We start from the raw sequence: 18,776 nt of genomic DNA, 5'->3' as shown, positions 1-18,776 counted from the left end.
TTTGTATTCATTCATTTATCCATTTTCTAACCTGCTTATTCCAGTGTAGAGTAGCATGTGGTTGGAGCCTCTCCCAGCAGCTCAGGGCACAAGGTGATAAGCACACCCTGCGTAGGACACAGTTTCATCCCAAGGTGCGCTCACATCCACTCCGATGGGGACCATTAGACACATAAGTGCCTAACTCCAACATCTTTGGGATGTTCAAGTTAGGTATTTGTAGAGGATGTAAGAGGAAACCAGAGTACCTGGAGAAAACCCACACAGACATGGAGAGAATGTGCAAACTCCACACAGACAGTGGCCCCAGCTGGGAATTGATTTTTTTTTTCTTTTTATCAACGTTATAATGCAATGATGCTATTTGAGGACCTGCTGTAGTTCCTTGCTGACTTCAGGGGCACAAAGGCTGGCCTGCATCAGTCCCTAGGGCAGCGTCTGGCATGACAGTCAGGGAAAACCTAACTGGGTGTTTGATTAGCTGTGGGAGGTGAAGGAAGGGAGGGGTCTCATTTTTGGCTGAATCGTCTATCCCTGTCAAAATAGTCCTTTCTTCTTCCTGTCTTACCTTTCTAGAAAGCATTTTTTTTTAATTGGACATGTTTATTTCTGTGGGTGGGTCAAAATCTTTTGAGTGGGCTTTTTGTTTTTGTCCCATTTTGAGACGGAGTCTTGCTCTGTCTCTCAGGCTGGAGTGCAGTGGTATAATCTTGGTTCACTGCATCCTCTGCCTCCTGGGTTTAAGTGATTCTCCTGCCTCAGTCTCCGCAGTAGCTGGGTATACAGGTGCCTGCCACCATACCTGGCTAATTTTTGTATTTTTAGTAGAGATGGGGTTTCACCATGTTGGCCAGGCTAGTCTTTAACTCCTGACCTCAAGTGATCCGCCCACCTCAGCATCCCAAAGTGCTTGGATTACAGGCATGAGCCACTGCAGTGGCCTGTTTTTGTCTTTTAATCTGTGGATCCCCAGTGTGCTGCTCTAACTAGATGAAGAGCTGCTGGCTTACATCTGTTGGGCAGGCCCTTAGTCCTTGTGGGCTGAGCAGTGTGGTAGTGAAGGAGTCCTGAGCCGCAGATCAAGAGGTGGAGGACCTGACTACACCACTTCTTTGCAATTCAGCCATGAGACAGCTTCCTGTTCCATAAAACTGTGGTGGGGTGCAGTGGGGTTGGGGGTGGGTGGTAACAGCATACAAGCCTACATCTGGGCTGCTTTCGACAATTGGGAGATTGTGTAAAAGGTCCCTGGCATGGCAGTGTTGGCTGTTCAGGAAAAGTGACTGTTTTTTAAAAATCTCTTCTTTCTTGGATCTCCTTGTGCTTGGCAGTGTGCCTTTCCACTTAGATCCAGGCCTTGGTTGGTCAAGGGCAGTTTTTTCATCAGCAGAGTGACTGTAGCCCTAAGGCCAAAGCCATTCAAATTCCTTCTTAGGTTCACACATTGGTGATTGTTGAAACCTTGACATTTGAGCTTGGAGAGCTTTCTGGCCTAGGCTAGTGCAGTGACAACTGTAGGTCCCACTTTGGCCCTGCGGTCATAACTAGGGTGATACTAATTGCAGCTTTCATTTGTTGAGCATCTGCCCTTCACCAGACCTGTACTCAGAGTCCATGATGCTCACACCAACCTTGTCAAGTAGGTGGTGGACTCCCCATTTTATGCAAGAGGAAACTGTAGTCCAGAGAGTTTGAGAAACTTGACGCGGTCTCCTGTTTGGAGTTCTCTATAGGACCTCCTTCTCTTTTAGTTATAACTAGTCTTTTAATTGCTTTTTTAGTTTTATTCCAATAGGTTTTTGGGGAAGAGGTAGTGTTTGATTATATGAATAAGTTCTCTGATGGTGATTTCTGAGATTTTGGTGCACTGATCACCTGAGCAGTGTACACTATACTCAGTGTGTATCCTTTTATCCCTCACTCTGCTCCCATCCTTTCCCCACCAAGTCCCCAAAGTCCACTCTTATGCATCATTCTTATGCCTTTGCACCCATAGCTTAGCTCCCAATTATGAGTGAGAACATAGGATGTTTGGTTTTCCATTCCTGAGTTACTTCACTTAGAATAATGATCTCCAGTTCCGTCCAGGTTGCTGTAAATGCCATTATTTCATTCTTTATTATGACGCAGTAGTCTTTCGTGGTATATGTATAGCACAGTTTCTTTATCCACTCGTTGATTGATGGGCATTTGGGCTGGTTCCATATTTTTACAAATGCGAATTGTGCTGCTGTAAACATGCATGTGCAAGTATCTTTCTCATATAATGACTTCTTTTCCTCTGGGTAGATACTGGGATTGTGGGGTTGCTGGATAAAATGGTGGTCCTACTTTTAGTTCTTTAAGGAATCTCCACACTGTTTTCCATAGTGGTTGTACCAGTTTGCATTCCCATAATTGCTTTGACTTAGAAAATGATGGCTGTTTGTAAGCCCCTTGTGAGCAACTTTTTTTTTTTTTTTCCATTTTTGAGTCAGGGTCTCATTCTGTTGCTTAGCTAAAGTACAGCAGTGCAATCATAGCTCACTGCAGCCTTGAGCTTCTGGGTGCAAGCGATCCTCCTGCTTTGGCCTCCCGAGTATCTGAGACTATAGGCATATGCAACCATGCCCAGCTAACTTTTTTTTTTTTTGGTAGAGACAGGGTTTCACCATGTTGCCCAGGCTGGTCTCAAACTCCTGGGCTGAAGTAAATTGCCTACCTCCGCCTCCCAGAGTGTTGGGATTACAGGCATGGGCCACTGCACCTGGCCGTGAGCAATTTTTAATAGTTGTCTCTTGTCTCTTCTATATGGCCTCTGTTCTTAATTGGTATAACCCAGTTTTACCTAGATGAGGTCATTGCTCAGTGGGTCTGCTCGTCCAGGCTCTGCAGAGGTCTACTTTGCTCTGGAAGTGTTTCCTGCTCCTTCTTTTCCCACCTCCAGTGGTGGAGTGTGTGCTGATTGGATAGAGTCCATGCTCTGGAAATAGGAACCAATTTTCTCTCCTCACTACTTCTTTTTATTTCTAACTGCTTCTGTTCATCTTTTCTTGGCTGCATTCATTTTCCCTCTTTACTGCTGTAGTTTATTGCTCTTTGCTGACTCCTTTATTTTTATTTTCCAGACTTGCCTGAAATGCATCTTGATTCTGGCATCTTTAGATGTTTAAAGCCCTGCACTTTGTTACTAATGATTTCCCTCATTTTGCAGAATTCCATTCAGTTGCAGTTCTATTTGGCAAGACCCTGCTTTTCTTCTTTCTTAAATCATTACATTTTAATATTCTTCTCTTCCTGCTCTTTTATAGAAATTTGTATTTCATTTTTTAGGTTGTAATAATGGACCTTCAACGCCCTACAGTTTGACTTCTTATCATACTTACTTGTTTTCAGAATCATATGTTCATGGAGCAGAGGCACTTTTATGCTGTCCTTGCTTTTTCTAAAAGGCAAATCTGTCCATACCATTTTCGTACTCAGCACCCTTCATAGGCTCTTGAAGATCAGCTCTGAATGCCCCATCCCAGTGTTGGAGACCAGTGGTGTCCCCCTCCCTTCACCTGCCCGCTACGACACTAGCTCAGCAGTTCTCCACAATTGGTTTCAGGACCCCTTTATGTAACTCTTAAAAATTAGTGAGATTCCCCTAAGAGCTTTTGTTTGTATAGATTGTATCTAGTAATATTTACTGTGTTAGAAATTAAAATTAAAGAAATTTAAAAATATTTATAAACTTGTTTAAATATAACAATAAACCCATTATATGATATATGATAATATAAAGTAGCATTTTTAATGAAAAGTAAATATTTCCAAAGCACAAACATTTAGTGAGAAGAGTGACATTGTTTTACTTTTTCCCAAATCTCTTTAATGTCTCTCTTAATGGAAGACAGCTGGAGTCTCATAAATGCTTTTGCATTCATTCTGTTGCAGTATATTGTGTTGGTTGAACTATATGGAGAAAATCCAGCCTTACACAGACATGTAGTTAGAAAAGGGAGGAGTGTTTTAATAGCCCTTTCAGTTAATTGTGGATAGTCTTTGAAACTATATCAGAACTTGACCCAGGTGTAAAGGTTTGTTGCAACATAGACTCTGAAACCAATCAATGAACTTTTCATAATGCTGTTACATTAAAGTCTGTTGTCCTATCACATCCATTGAAAGGATCTTTTACACATCATTTTGTAACATCATGCATCATTAGTCATTTGGAAAATATCAAAATATCACATTTAATACCACCGTTTAGAAAAATATCAACATATCACATTTGTTAATGTCATTGCCATTCTCATCTGAAAAGTCTTTAAGTATTGAGATGCTCTAAAGCTGAAAATACTGGATACAGGTTTTCCAAAGTTCTGTTTATTTGTTTTGAGATAGAGTCTCTATCCCCCAGGCTGAAGTGCAGTGCCACAATCTCAGGTCATTGCAACCTCCGCTTCCCGGGTTCAAGTGATTCTCATGCCTCAGCCTCCCGAGTAACTGGGATTACTGACACCCACCATCACGCTTATTTTTGTATTTTTAGTAGAGATAGGGTTTCACCATGTTGTTCAGGCTGACCTTGAACTCCTGACCTCAGGTGATCTGCCTGCCTCGGCCTCCCAAAGTGCTGGGATTACATGCGTGAGCCACCGCACCCGGCCCCGAAGTTTTAATTTTTGCTTGAAAGCCCAAAATTTGTCTTTAGCAACAAATACCGTCAGTTTTCCTTGAAATAACAGGCTCACTGTATTTATTTTTGACAAAGTGTCTATAAATACCCAAATCTGAGTAATCATAGTTTTTCTCAGTCATTCTTTCAAGGAAAGATGGTGTTCTGTGAAAAACAGTGGCTAAGCTTGCAGCTCAGTCACACAAGTACTTTTTCTTCCCAAAGACAACCACCGCACTCTGGCCTGCAGCGGAAGTGCCGAATGAGTGCGCTTAACATTTTGTTACATGGGATATTAAAAAGATGTGTACTCAAGAATCAATATTTAATGAAATTAATAATTTTACTGCTTCATCAAGGACACGCTTAGCTAAGGACAGGCGTGGTGGCTCATGCCTGTAATCCCAGCACTTTGGGAGGCCGAGGCGGTTGGATCACGAGGTCAGGAGAGCGAGACCATCCTGGCTAACATGGTGAAACCCCGTCTCTACTACAAAAAAAACAAAAAATTAGCTAGACGTGGTGGCGGGCACCCGTAGTCCCAGCTACTCTGGAGGCTGAGGCAGGAGAATGGTGTGAACCTGGGAGGTGGAGGTTGCAGTGAGCCGAGATCGTGCCACTGTACTCCAGCCTGGGCGACAGAGCGAGACTCCATCTCAAAAAAAAAAAAAAAAGCTGTGTGTGTGGCAGTAGAGAATATAATGACCACTGATACAGTGAGATGCCACTGCCTTGATTTATGCTAAGCCACCAGTTGTTTTACCTGCTATTGCTTTTGCACCAGCAATGTAAGTGTCAACACAGTTGAAGATAGTTTTGACCTGGCGGGACTCCCAGAAAGGGTCTTGGGCCACACTTCAAAAACCAGTGGGTAAGACTAAACTGCCCATCATTCATCTGCATGCTCTAGATTCTCTCGCTTTCCATATCTTGGCTCCATGCCCCCTCTACCCGGAACATTCATCTTCACCACCACCTCTCCCTCCCCGTGTGTGTGTGTGCATATTCACACATATTTATATATCTACACATGTATAGGTGTGTATGTGTGTATAAATGCACACGTGTGTATATTCAGCATTTCTGGTTATAATCGTGTGCAATGATTTCATCCAGTGGGCTGTAGACTATGGGCCAGGTTTCATATTTATCTTGGTGGGCAGGAGCACCAAGTACCATGTCTGGCACAGCTAATCACTTGCTAAATGTTAGCTATTTTCATCATCATCATCATCATCATCATCATCATCATCATCATTGCAAGGGCTTAATACATTTTTCTTTTTTAACAAACGAAGAGTTTAGGTTAGTATTTCCCATGGTTTCCTTAGAACATTGGTTCTCTGTGATATCAGTAAGTGTTGATGAATGGGCATCTGTGGTCAGCTAGATTTGGGAATGCTCAAATACATTTTTGATTGAAGGATTTTCAAGATCCTTTGTTGTATAAGGTATATATTGTGAATCTTTAAGGGGAATGGGAGGCTATAGAATGTAGCATTTCCAAAGCTGAATAACTTGTGAAACTTCTTTTTTTGGCATAAGTCGTAAAATTAGGTTTCTTGGAATTTTCTTTGGGAAATAATCACATAGTCTGGCCTTTTCATTTTTACAGATGAGGAAACTGATGACCTATATTCATTCTTGCAATAATTTATACCTCAAATATGTAATGAGTACTTCTTAAAGTTAGACACTGCTAGGTTGGGTAATACAATAGCAAGTGAAAAAAAACAGAGTTGGGGAAAGTGTTAATTATACTTTTTATATGGAGTAGATGATTAAGTGGGAGGTACAGACATTAATGAAGTAGTTACTGAAATTAGAACTGTTATGTGAATGGTGTGTAGGAAAGTAGACAGTGCTAAATCATTTGTTTTTTGTTTTACTCATTTTCAAAGCTCTGCCAGGCCCATTTAGGTCTTCCTCTCAACGTTCTGCCACTGCTAGCAGCTCTGTGATCCAGACTGCTGAAGATCAGTAAAGATGTCCATTTGCCCAGCTGCATCATCTGAGAGTGTAGCATGTTGAAGACATGATCTGTTACAGCGTGAGACAACTTTCTCTTAGTGCCTCATGTTTAATAAGTACTTGTACATATTGATAGACTGCATGAAGTATGCATAAACATACTTAGAAAAACCTGGACTGAAAGACAAACCCTACACTGTGGTTTCTTCACCCACTGCCCTAACTCACTGTGCTGTACAGGGGGACTGAATAAAATCATTTCACATGCATTTCCTGCACCCCCTTGCTCTGACCTGGCCCCATTTTGGATGGATCCAGTGACTCTTCCCTTCCCCACCATGCAAAACAGAAAAACACATCTTTCTGTTTTGATCCAGTACTGCCCACACGTTGGGGAAAATGTTAATATACTATTTGTATGAATATATTTAATCAAAGGGCATGATGTTGATACAGTAAAATTGGCCTGTGGTCTGGTGGCTTCCTGGGCAGATGATAGCAGGAGGGTTTTGCGACAGAATAGCCTTGGAGTCAGGACTTTTGTAAGAAGATTAGGTCAGTGTTTGATTTGATGTTTCATTCTGCAAAGTCACCTACAGAGAAATCAAACATTTACATGTTTATTAACTGGTGCTTTTGGTTTTGGCATGTGGCCACAGGCTTTGGGCTGGATGAGCTCTGGGAATGCACAAAAATCTCTCATTCCTTCTCTTGTATGGGTAGATAAGCAGGAAAATATTTACCTTTTCAGGTTATCCTCTTCAAAGAAGCCTGAAACTTCTTCAGCCACATCATCTTCCTGCCAGAGTCTGAAAACCAACAGGCTTTCAAGAGACCAAGGGTTGAGTGGAGTCATTTAGGGAATGACATGTATCCAGGTTGCTAAATTTTTTGGTGTTGCTCTGAGATTGAATTAGGGAAATTCCCATTGAGTTTTTGGACCTCTTGATTTCTAATCTTCTTTGATTAAGTTGGAGTTGCAGAAATATCATGGATTCCTACTTTTAAAATAACTTTTTCTTTGTAAAAATAATTCAGACTAATTGTAGAAATTTGGGTAAATAGCAGAAGGCATAATGCTGAAAATTACCCATAATCCTTCTTCAGAGATAATCACTATAAACATTTTGTTTTATTTGCATGTATTTTTATATGCATAATTAAGATCATTGTGTATAAATTTTGATTTCTTCTTATTCCATTTAACATATGAATACTTTTTCTTGTGTTGAGAGCAACATGGACTTGTATTAGTTTCCTGTTGCTGCTGTAATACATTTCCACAAACAGAGTGGCTTAAAATAGCAAATATATTCTCATAGTTTTGGAAGCCAGAAGTCTGAAATCAAGGTATGGGCAGGACCGTGCTCCATGTGCACAGACTCTAGGGGAGAATCTGTTCCACTCCTTGCTCTCCCAGCCTTTGGTGCTGCCAGCATTCCTTGGCACGTGGTCTTGTCATTCGTATATCTGCCTCAGTTTTCACAGTGTGTGTCTGTGTGTTTGTGTGTGTGTAATCTACCTTTCTTATAAGGGCATGTGAATTTAGGTCCAATCCAGATAATCAAGAATACAGCTTTATCTCACAATTCTTGACTTAATCATGTCTACAAAGACCATTTTCCACCTAAGATAACATTTCCAGGTTTCAGGATTGGGACCTGATATGGTTTGGTTGTGTCCCCACCCAAATCTCACCTTGAATTGTAGCTCCCATAATTCCCACGTGTTGTGGGAGGGAACTGTTGGGAGATAATTGAATCATGGGGGCAGTTTTCCCCATACTGTTCTTGTGGTAATGAATAAGTCTCACAAGATCTGATAGTTTTATAAGGGAAGCCCCTGTCACTTGGTTCTCATTATCTCTTGTCTGCCACCGTGTAAGACATGCCTTTTGCCTTTCACCATGGTTGGGGGGGCCTCACAATGGAACTGTGAGTCCATTAAACCTCTTTTTCTTTATAAATTACCCAGTCTCAGGTATGTCTTTATCAGCAGCGTGAAAATGGACTGATACAGGACCTGACCTCTCTGGGGCCATTATTCAGCCTTCTACAGGGTTCTAGACAATGGACTCTGGAGCCAGACTCTGTGGGATCTAATCTTGAGCAAGTGCCTTAACTCTCAGTACCTCTTCTTTCTGATCTGTAAAATGGGAATAATAGTACCTACCTCCTTGAGTTGGTATACAAATTACAAAGATTAACATATACAGAACACCTAAAAAGCTCAGGTTAGTGGCTGGCCTGTGTAAGGAGTAGCTGTTAGTATTGTATTTGTGATTTTTATTAACAATTCTTTGTTAGATGTCATTTTTAATGGCTGCATAAGAGTTTTTAAATGAATCTACCATAATTTGTCTAATTCTGTCCTTTTGTTGGATAAGTTTCTTTTTCATTTTTTATCTCAGGTATGATGTTGCCGTGTAGCATTAAGTTTTGTTCCTTAGTGTAGAGTTCTGGAAATGGAATTACAAAGTCAAAGGGTGTGTATAGTTTTAAGCCACTTAATGAGAATTTGTTTAATTGCTTTCCAGAAAGTTGAATGATGAGAGTACCTGTTTTACCATGGCCATACCTGTTATCGCATGTTACCATTTTCAATACTCTGAGGTCCTTTGATATAGTCTGCCCTTTAAGCCTGAAATGTACAGCATAGGGACCCTACATTTTGTGTTTCATTCAGTGAGGAGTATTCTGACCATGCAAGAAAACCTCTAACACAAAATGAAATCCTTGCTTTGTGAAGTCACCCCAGTGCCTTCTCCATTCTGTTATGAAGCCTGGAAACTTGCTGGGTGTTTTTGAGGGTAGGGGGAGGGCTGTTGGGGGAAAGGTTGTTAGTAGCAGGGTAATGCTAGGTTTACAGGGACTTCAATAGCATAGTTTTGCTTCTGTTCTCAAATGTGAACATTTAAAACTGAGCATTTGATGGGATGAGGGAGGTACATTTGAACAGAAAACAGATTAATGTAATCACTTTACAACTAAGGCCATGTGAGGGACAGGAGTATGGGGTGGGGAAGGGGTAGCTCCTGCATTGCCTGCCAGATTATCTGGGAGATCAGCCGTGGGAAAGGCTAAGGGAACAGTTTGCATCTGTACTTTGCCCCCTGGGTCACCTGCTAGCCTGCTCTCCTTTCTTGGTGGTGCCCATTGCAGTCTGGTCCTGTGCAGCCCAGGCCTCTGGGCTATAGAGAGGCATAGCAGGGGTTCCAAGTGTGTGTGCTCAAGGGAACCTGCTACATTTGACGTCATCTGGCCCATTGCTGTTCAGGCTATTTAGAAACAGGGTGGCTGTGTTTCCCCAGTGGAAAGGTACAGTATACACCATGTGCAGCAGGTCATGCACAAATTCAACAATACCCAAACCCGCCGTAGTTGGCTAAATGGTGGCCCCAAAGATGTGCTTAGATTAGAACATCCCTGGAACCTATAAATGTTACCTTAATTGGAAAAAGGGGGTTTGCAGATGTGACTAAGTAAGGATCTTGAGATGAGATCATCCTGGATTATTTGGTAGGCCCTAAGTGCCATCACAGATATTCTTATAAGAGAGAAGCAGAGAGAGATTTGACACAGAAGAGAAGGCAGTGTGCCAAGAGGAGAGGGCATATGTCAAGATGGAGGCAGAGGTCGGAATGATGTGGCCACAAGCCAGGGAATGCCAAGCCACCAGAAGCTGGAAGCGGCGACAAACGAGTTCTCCCCTACGGCTTCTAGAGGGAGCATGGCATTGCCTGTTTATTTCAGACTTCTGACCTTCAGAATTAATACATTTCCTGTTTTAAGCCTTCCAGTGATAATTATGGCAGCCTCAGGAAACTCATATACTAGTCTGTGCCCTGTCCAAGACACTTCTGCTGTTTATGTGCTTGGCTCTCTCTTTCTCATATTGCTAGAAAAGCTTCTGAGCACTTACTCCCAATTTCTGTACTTATCTGGTCATGACCCAGCAGCAGAGTTGGCACTGGTTTGCAGAACTCCTGTTGAGTACCACTGATCTAGTCTCTATCATTTTATGAATGAAGAAACTGAGGCCTAGTGAGAGAAAGTGCTATAGGTCTGGGACGAGCAGCAGGTGCCTCTGCTACTTGGAATATTTAGACAGGGCCAGATCTGGGGAGAGCAGATAGCAGAGTTGCCCTTCGGAGGCCAGCTGGTGTCCCTGTCGCTGTTCTGTACCCTGTTCAGTGAAAGCTGATGCTCCAGTGAGCCCCTGGGGCGACAAGCTGCTCAGAAGGCCTAGAAACTAGGGCAAACTGGTAGAGCCTTTGCTGCAGCTACTGAGCCAACAGCAGCAGGCAAAGAACCCTGTCAAGGGTAGAGGTCACGGCTTGCTGATGACTTAATTTCCAGCTGACTGCTTCAGTCTTTATAGACCCTCTAACTCAGGTCATATTTTTCCTCTGGAGCCCAATTTTAACTTTCCATATTTTCAGAATGGCAATTATCTCTTAGAGAATGGGGACTAGACTACATGCTGCTTTGATAAAGTCCAAACTCCTTTACTTGGCATTCATGACTCCTGAATAACCAACTCCCTTCCCCTTTCCAGTTCTGCGTCCCATCCCTCCCTTTTACATACCTTAATCTCTGGACTTCACCAAAATCAGTGCTCCCTAGTAGAAGAGGCTATAAGACATTAGGTTCTTAAATCCCCACAGTAGGTAAGTTTGTGATTGCCCAACTCAGGAACTAATGGAAAAATATGGCGAGGATAGAGGTCGGGCATACATCTGTGAAGCTCTTTGGGAATAAAAAAACAACAACTGTTTACATTTACTGCAAGAGAATATGAAGGCAGCACAGCAGCCAGTACCAACCACTAACATGAACAAAGTCATCTGAGACCATCTGGCCCAGTGGAGCAACCAGATGCCTATAGCCACATACATAAGCCAGGCAAGACCAGAAGAAAAAGCCCAGCTGAACTCAGCACTGATTGCTGACCCACCATACCTTGAAATGAAATGTTTGTTTGAAACAAAACAAAAAGCACGGTAAACCAAGATTTATCTTTACGTATTTTAGTAATGATAGGCATTGTACCATTACTCAATTATGTCTTGCTTGTTATGGACACTTTTTGGAGTCTCCCACCTTTTTACTTTCAAGGGAACTCTTATTTATTTTGCTTTATGGGTAATACCCATACTAAAAGCTCCTTTCCCCCAGTATCTGGGCTTCCAACTTAATATTTAATGCCACTGAGGTTTTGAGTTAATTTGTTGGCTGTCCTCTGTGGCTGTCACACATCTCTCTTCCTTTCCTCTCTGATGTTATGGGACGGTAGTTCGGATGCCTGGGTCACTTTCTCATCTTTTATTTTTCCCAAGGCTTTGGTTTAAAAGCCTCTGTTCCTTCACCTTCCGCGTTTGTTTCTTTTCTAATCCCAAACCTGTATCCTTCATTTTTAAATCAGTGATTTTTGATTGCAGGGAACAGCCATGGTCTCATGGCGGCTTAAGTTAGCAGCGAGTTTGTTGTAGAAATCCCAGGAATACAGGAAGCAAAGCTTGACTGCCTGCTGGGCACAGGAGTGGGAAGGCCCCTCTAACTCCATGCAGGGGCTGCTTGGTCCTGTCCATCACGCACATGCACACATGTGCCAGTGTATCTGTCTGTCTGCCCTTCTGGAGCAGGGCGGTGACAAGTGTCTATCCCTAAGCCAGTTGGGAGAGGGGAACCGTGTGACTGCCCTCTCAGCATGGGCTGAGGGGGTTCCAAAAAAGGAGTCTGTGGAGGGATACCTCCCCAGCAGCTATTATACCCTTTCTTCTAATTTCTCAACAGGAATAACTCAAGTCACCTGTACTGGAAATCAGTTTGCTGAAATTAATCAACGATTCTTGAAGTTGAAGAAAAGGTAAACATTCTCTTATAAGGGAAACTCATTGTCTGGGGAGAGGTTACTGTCCCAGTCATTTCTCTCATATGCCTAGTTTTGTGTGTAATATTTTACCCCTTCTCTCTGCCTGGCCAAGTTCCTCTTCATCCCTCAAGATCTTTATCAAATGCCACCTTTGTCCTTTGTGGAGGATCTCCTCCAGGCTGCGGGTGATTTCTCCTGCTGTTGAACCCCCACGACACTTTCTCCTTCCTGTGATGTTTGTGTTCTCGTTTGCCCTTCCCCTGATGGTCTCACCCTTCCTCTCTTGGCCAGTCGGGTAGAGGTCTGTGACACACCCCCCATCATAGTACTTACTTCCACGCTTTATTCTCGTTGCCTGTTTTTGTGTTTTCCCCAGTAAGCTGCTTAAGGGTGCATCTGAGTTGTGCCTGGGACACAGTCGGTATTCCATAAATGTTTCTCGAATGACTCATGAAGGAGCCTCTCCACAAGAGGCCTGCTCCTGTGTGGACCCACATTGTACCCCCACCACGCCTCCCTTACTGGGCCTGTACTAGGAATCATTCTTAAATACATTATGATCTTTGAGCATTCATCCGAAATTCCTGATCTTCGCCAGGTGTCCTTTGGCTATTGGTGAAATGAAGCTAATAGCAAAGCTTTTGTATCTGATACTTTTTTTTCACATTTGATTTTGGACCCATGTTAAGAGCAGGAATCCAGAAGTGGGGAGGGAGGTGACAGGCAGAGCTGGATGCCAGTGGTCACTGGAGCACAGCTCCCCAGCCCCCTTCTCCGCTTGTGGCGGGTGTGAGTGGGGGTTGCATGTGGGGGGCTTTAGGTCTCGCTGTGGTTGTAGCCCCTCCTATCTGCTGCACAGGTGGATCACCTTCTCCATCTGTGCCATGCTCTCGACTGCTTCACTCAGTGACTTTGTGTCTTAACCCACCTCCCTGCCCCCAACCTTTGTCCTTTAAATGAATAAGTCAGCAGGTTCCTTTTCTCAAACTGTTTACTGTAACTGCTAAAGATCCCATAAAAGTTTCTTATTAATTTTATGAGTTTATGCATCATAGCCAGAGGGACAAAGCATAGATTGTGGGTGTTCCCAGAGATACAAATTTCCAGAGATTGTTTTGCGTATTCATCTGCACATTGTTGTCTGGGTTTGACGTGTATTGGGCTTCAGTGTGAGGCTTTTAATATGTATATCCTGTTATCAATTAAGAAATTATCCAAGTGGTTGAATCCTGTGAGACTTCGCAAGTGTGTGCAAATCTAGTATACTTGACTTTTCAACCTCTTCTTTCAATGTAACTTTTATACAAAATAAATAATCAACTGACAGTTCTCAAAAAAAAGAAAATCAGTTTAATTGGTCACCATCATCTTGGAAGACTTGACTCAGCCCTTTCTGCCTAACAGTAACCAGCAACTGTCTCTCACATTTGTAGAGTGCTTTCTCTTTTGCAAGGTGCTTTGACACACGTCGGCAGATTTTCTTCTCCCACCAGTCCTGGGAAGCAGGCAGAGGCAAGTGGTAACTTCTCATTTTCAAAGTTGGGAAATAAGCTCAGAAGTTCAATGTCTTGCATAACATCATGAACTGATGTGAATGGGGTTCAGTTCCCCCCAACCATCTGATCTTGGTACCCCCCTTTGGAAGCCATGGCAAACTAACAGTGTCACAGAACCGTCTCTACCCTCAGTGTTCCTTTGAGGGAGGGGAGTCTTGACCTTCTGTTGAGAGTCTGACCCTGGTGCTCCCTCCACCCTCAGCCAGGCAGCTTTCTTGAAAAAGCAGATATGTTCCTCCTGAGACCTTCCAGTCAGTCTTGAAAGTTTTGTTTTTGTTAAGGCTAATTTAAATACAAGAAATTTAATTAGCTTACATGAATGCTGCATTGTCTTACTCTGAGTAAACTGGAAGACACTAACAGGTTTGATCAGCTTAATTCAGCTGTATCTGATGATGTTCTTTCGCTTCCTTCTCTTTTAAATCATTGCAAATGGTTTCTATCAGTCAAGGCAGCAGAGCACAGTGCTTTATTGCCATGTGGAATTGTTTAGTTAACTGTGATTTTTAAAAAATTGCTCAACTTTTAATGAAAGTGGATTGTCAGGTGACATTTTGATTTGTCCTTTGATGGGGAAATGGGAAAATAGAACCATCATAATAAAAAACCAGCTTCTATTCTAGAAGGGGGGCTATTAAAAGCAGGATGTGATTTCAGTGAATTGTTGTTTTCCTAAAACAGGCCACCATCTCTGGTCTTTTTATGTTGAGAGACCTTCCTCTGATACTCTCTTAGATTAACATTTTCCTGTGGGAAATTCTAACCTGGAATCCCCCAAACAGGTTACTCCCCATAGTGTAAGCGTTGGGGCCCAGGACCAGATACCAACACCCTTTTACTGGGAATCTGAAGCATCAGTATCGAGAAATCTGCAAGCCTATCGTGATGCTTGTAATCAAAGGAAACAGGCTTCACATTTTACTTTTAGTTGTGGCATGATGCAAGCACCATTTTACTGTTAAGGTTATTGTTTTCTTAACCCCAAAGCTGGATCTGCATTAGTGAGGATCCTCATAGAGGCTACCCTCATGTGTCCTGGCTGAGTGGGGTTCCAGGTGCTCCTCAGTGGTTGTGCCCACCTTGAATTGGCACAGTGGCAGGACCTCCGACACCATGAGAGGATAGACAGGGGTCACCTCTGAGGCTGGCCCCAGGACTCCTCTGTGTTCTATAGCATTCTTACACCCTTTATGGCAGTTAGCAAACTTGGTATCTCATGGGCACCTCAAGCTTACTGTGTCCAGATTTTAACTCTTGGTCTACTTCTACCATAGTCCCTTTCTAGGCCTCCTCCCTTCCCCCATCTTATTAAGGTACGTAGTTGTTAACTCACTTTGTCAGGCCAGAAACTGGTACTTCATTTGTTAATACTCATCTTTTTCTTCCCCCAAATCACCAAATCCTAATGATGCCTCTCCTAAAGTACATCTTGAATTCATCCATGGCCTTCCTGTATCCGCCCCCCAAGTCCAAGCCAACATCGTCCTTTGCCAGGTGACTGCCAAAGCCTCTTAACTGACTGCCCTGCCTGCTTCCCCTTTTCTTCTATTCCTCTCATCAATTTGGACCCAGAGCAATCTTTAAAAATTCTTGTCAAATCATGTAATTCCCTTGCTTGAAACCTGTTGGTGACCTCATCCTGCACTTGATGAAACACATAAGCCCAGTGCAGCCCATGGAGTGGACTGCACTGTCTGGGCCCCAGGCCTGGCTACAGAGGCACAGCATTGTTGGCACCATGTTGTTGTAGCTTGTGAGACATTCTCCCCTTCACTCTTGACTTCCTAGGAAGATTGCAGTGACTTCAATTTTCCAAACGCAATAAAATAACTCAGGCTCTCAAAGGTGTACTTAGAATGAATATTGTGTTCTGGGAAATGGAACAAGGAGTGATTTGTTCCTCCAAACACCAGAATAACAACTCCTAGAACACAGAGGTGGACCACTATTTCATTTGTAACCTTAATAAGTTAATAGCCAATAAGTAATCAGCTGAAATTGCAATACTCCTTGCTACTCCCCAAGCAACCTCCCCATCCCCCACCCACATATTTTGACATAAAAATGTGCAACAGCATTTTAGCTCATGAAATCTTGAATGAAACTTGGTTCTAGGTTGGTACAAGAAAAGACTGGCATTCTATTATACAAGGGAAAAAGAAAGCTAAATATTAGCATACAGCTTTCCTTTTTAAATATGTTTTTCCTATCTTGAAGCCGATTTGTTTTCCTTAGTCTTGAGCTTTACTCCTGTGTGTGTCGGAGGTCCTGCGTGTGCTGCCGTGCACACATCTGAAAAGCACGTACCTGAATTTCATCTTAGGCATGATACTCTCCATTCTCAGGCCTTCCCCAAGGTAATTAATGGTAATATTGAAACTCCAGCTGGATGTTTGGTACACTGTGGCCTGATGAGTTACAGCAAAGTTTGTAATGGGAATACCAGCAAAGGTGATTTTAATAGTGTGATGAGCGTTGTGATAGAGTTTATTACCCAGAGTCCTGGGAACACAGAGATGGCCCCTCACTCACCCTGGGGGATGGAAAGTCATGTGACCCTTGAGATGGGTCTTGAAAGAGATGCCAAGTACCAACTGCTTGTTACTTTTTTGCCAAGCAGAAGGAATGCTTGGGAGAATAGGGGTGCAAAGGGCATTTCAGACAGCTGCATGGATAAAGGCCTGGGAGGTCAGCAAGGGTGTGGCATGCCAGAGAACACTGAGGAGGGTCGCTGCTGTGGTGGAGGGCACGGTGGGGTGGGAGTTGAGTGCAAAAGGTAGGCAGGAGCCAGATCATGCAGGTCCTTCCTTGGGGACCAGGTTAGGCAAGGGATTTGGATTTTATTCTAAAGGCAGTGGAATGCCACTGTAGAATTAAATACTAGGGAGTTACTGGACCGGGTTTGTCTTTTACAATAGGGATTCTGTAGGCATGGTCTGTACTAAGACTTCTCCTGAAAGTCAGTGATCTGATTCAGATATGCAAGTCCTTTTATTAGTTCTAATGGGTGTGAGACTTAAAATTCCAGAGACTTGCACATTTTAGGTATGACGGTAGGCTGGATGTTGCTAAGTGACTGACATGTGATTGGTGTTAAGTTAGTGCCCTGCTGGAGTTTCTGGATGATTGTACTCCCCTGGGTTGCCATGCTCAGCAGTGGTGCATTCCAGGTGCCTGCTGAGCATGGACACAGGCGGTTGGATTCCTGCGGGTTTGGAAATGGCACTCTGACAGTGCAACGTCAGTGAGGTCTTGAATTTGTGACAGCAACTTAAAGTTGCTGGGAATCTAGAGGTCTAATTATACTGTTAACTTGGCTTTCTTGTTATTTGGTTAACATTTTTTGGTTGGTGGTTAACCCTGCACTCTGAAGTGATGCATATTTATGCTAGGAATGTGTTTTGGCTTCAAAGTTTATGATAACTAGACTTTAAAACAGGTATGAAATTTAGATGCATCGTCTATATCCCTTTGCAAAAGATGTCTCTGTCTCCCACATTTGCTTCTCTGGTGATTCTTCAGTGTTACTACCATATTATTTTTTCCTGCTAAGGGGAAAATATGTGAGATGAGCAAGGGTGGCATCCCTTGCCTTGCCTCCATGGACAGTGGTTTCGAAAGGACTCAGGAGTGTTTGCATTACTTAAGGCTTGACAAAGCAGTAAGGTGAAGGCAGAGAAACAGTGGAGGAGGCTATCACAATTTCCTCATCAATAAAGATGAGGGCTGTGGGGAAGGAGAGAGGGGTATGTCTGAGAGATGTTTAGGATAAGGGAGAACAATCTGATGTAGAGAATGACAGAGAGGGGTGGTATCTAGGAGATCCCCAGACTTCTGGCTTGGGCAGCATTGGCGAGAGGGACAGTCTTGTATCATCTAGCAAGTAAGTAAAGCAGGCCAAGATGAGGAGGCTTGGAAGTGGGCAAGAGTTTGGCTTGTTCTCCCACTATGTGCAGACAGAACAGCCGTGCATGATGCGATGTCAGAGGTCAGGGTTGGGCTCAGCACAGAGATGTTGAAAGCCAGGTCCTATCTGTACCCTGTTTTGTTGACAGTGGGGAACACATGAACACATTCTAGTTAGAGGACTAAGATCAGACATGGGTTTCTGTGAAATCATTCCCTGGAAATTGAGGAATCAGGAGGCTGGAGGAAGGGAGGCATCTGGGTGGAGATGCTGAGGACTCGGTAATGGCAGGGAGAACATACAGGCATGGGTATGCGTGCAGTGTCTGCAGCCTCTATTTTATTTGGGGGTGGCGTGTGATACAGATTCTAGAGTCAACACAGAGGAGAATGAGCAGCCCTTGGTAAGCTATTAACCAGGAGCAGGTGGGGGCAGCGTGGGGAAGGTGGAGTAGAAGGTGACTGGGAGAGCTCTCCTCTGTTCTGGTGCCCAGGCTTGCCTTAGTTAACAGTGGACCCACGGTGGCCTGAGTGGACCTAAGACTGGAGCTGGTCTGACTCTTGCTGACCTGGAGGCTTCTGTGCAGTCTGCAGTTGGACCAGTGGCAAGATCAATAAACCTTGTCTTCAGTGCTCAAAAGCCTTCTTGTTCTGTGCCATTGCCGAAACCATTCTCATTGACTGGTAAATCAGCTTAAGGTTCAGCAAAAAGGAGGACATTTAAATTAAAGATCAAATATTTATCACTTTGTTAATGACAAATGCAACTTCAGCAGCTCAAGTTCATTTTCTGATGGGGTCATTCCCTTTCTCCTACCCTAAAA

General features: G+C 43.3%; 1 protein-coding gene across 6 annotated transcripts in view; it reads left to right on the top strand.

Annotated features, from left to right (window-relative positions):
* The window catches only part of SMCO4 (single-pass membrane protein with coiled-coil domains 4), a 75,508-nt gene that overhangs the window by 42,220 nt on the left and 14,512 nt on the right, over positions 1-18,776 (top strand). For 3 of the 6 annotated variants that reach the window (XM_011542909.1, XM_011542907.1, NM_020179.3), the window contains exon 2: positions 12,412-12,484. In XM_011542909.1, the coding sequence (XP_011541211.1) occupies positions 12,412-12,484 (73 nt within the window). The other 3 variants (XM_017018020.1, XM_047427266.1, XM_011542911.3) reach the window with 3 other exon arrangements.

Source organism: Homo sapiens, chromosome 11 (assembly GCF_000001405.40).
Source record: "Homo sapiens chromosome 11, GRCh38.p14 Primary Assembly".
NCBI classification, from domain to species: Eukaryota; Metazoa; Chordata; class Mammalia; order Primates; family Hominidae; genus Homo; species Homo sapiens.
The sequence above is the reverse complement of the archived record's forward strand: the minus strand, read 5'-3'. Positions and strand labels throughout refer to the sequence as shown.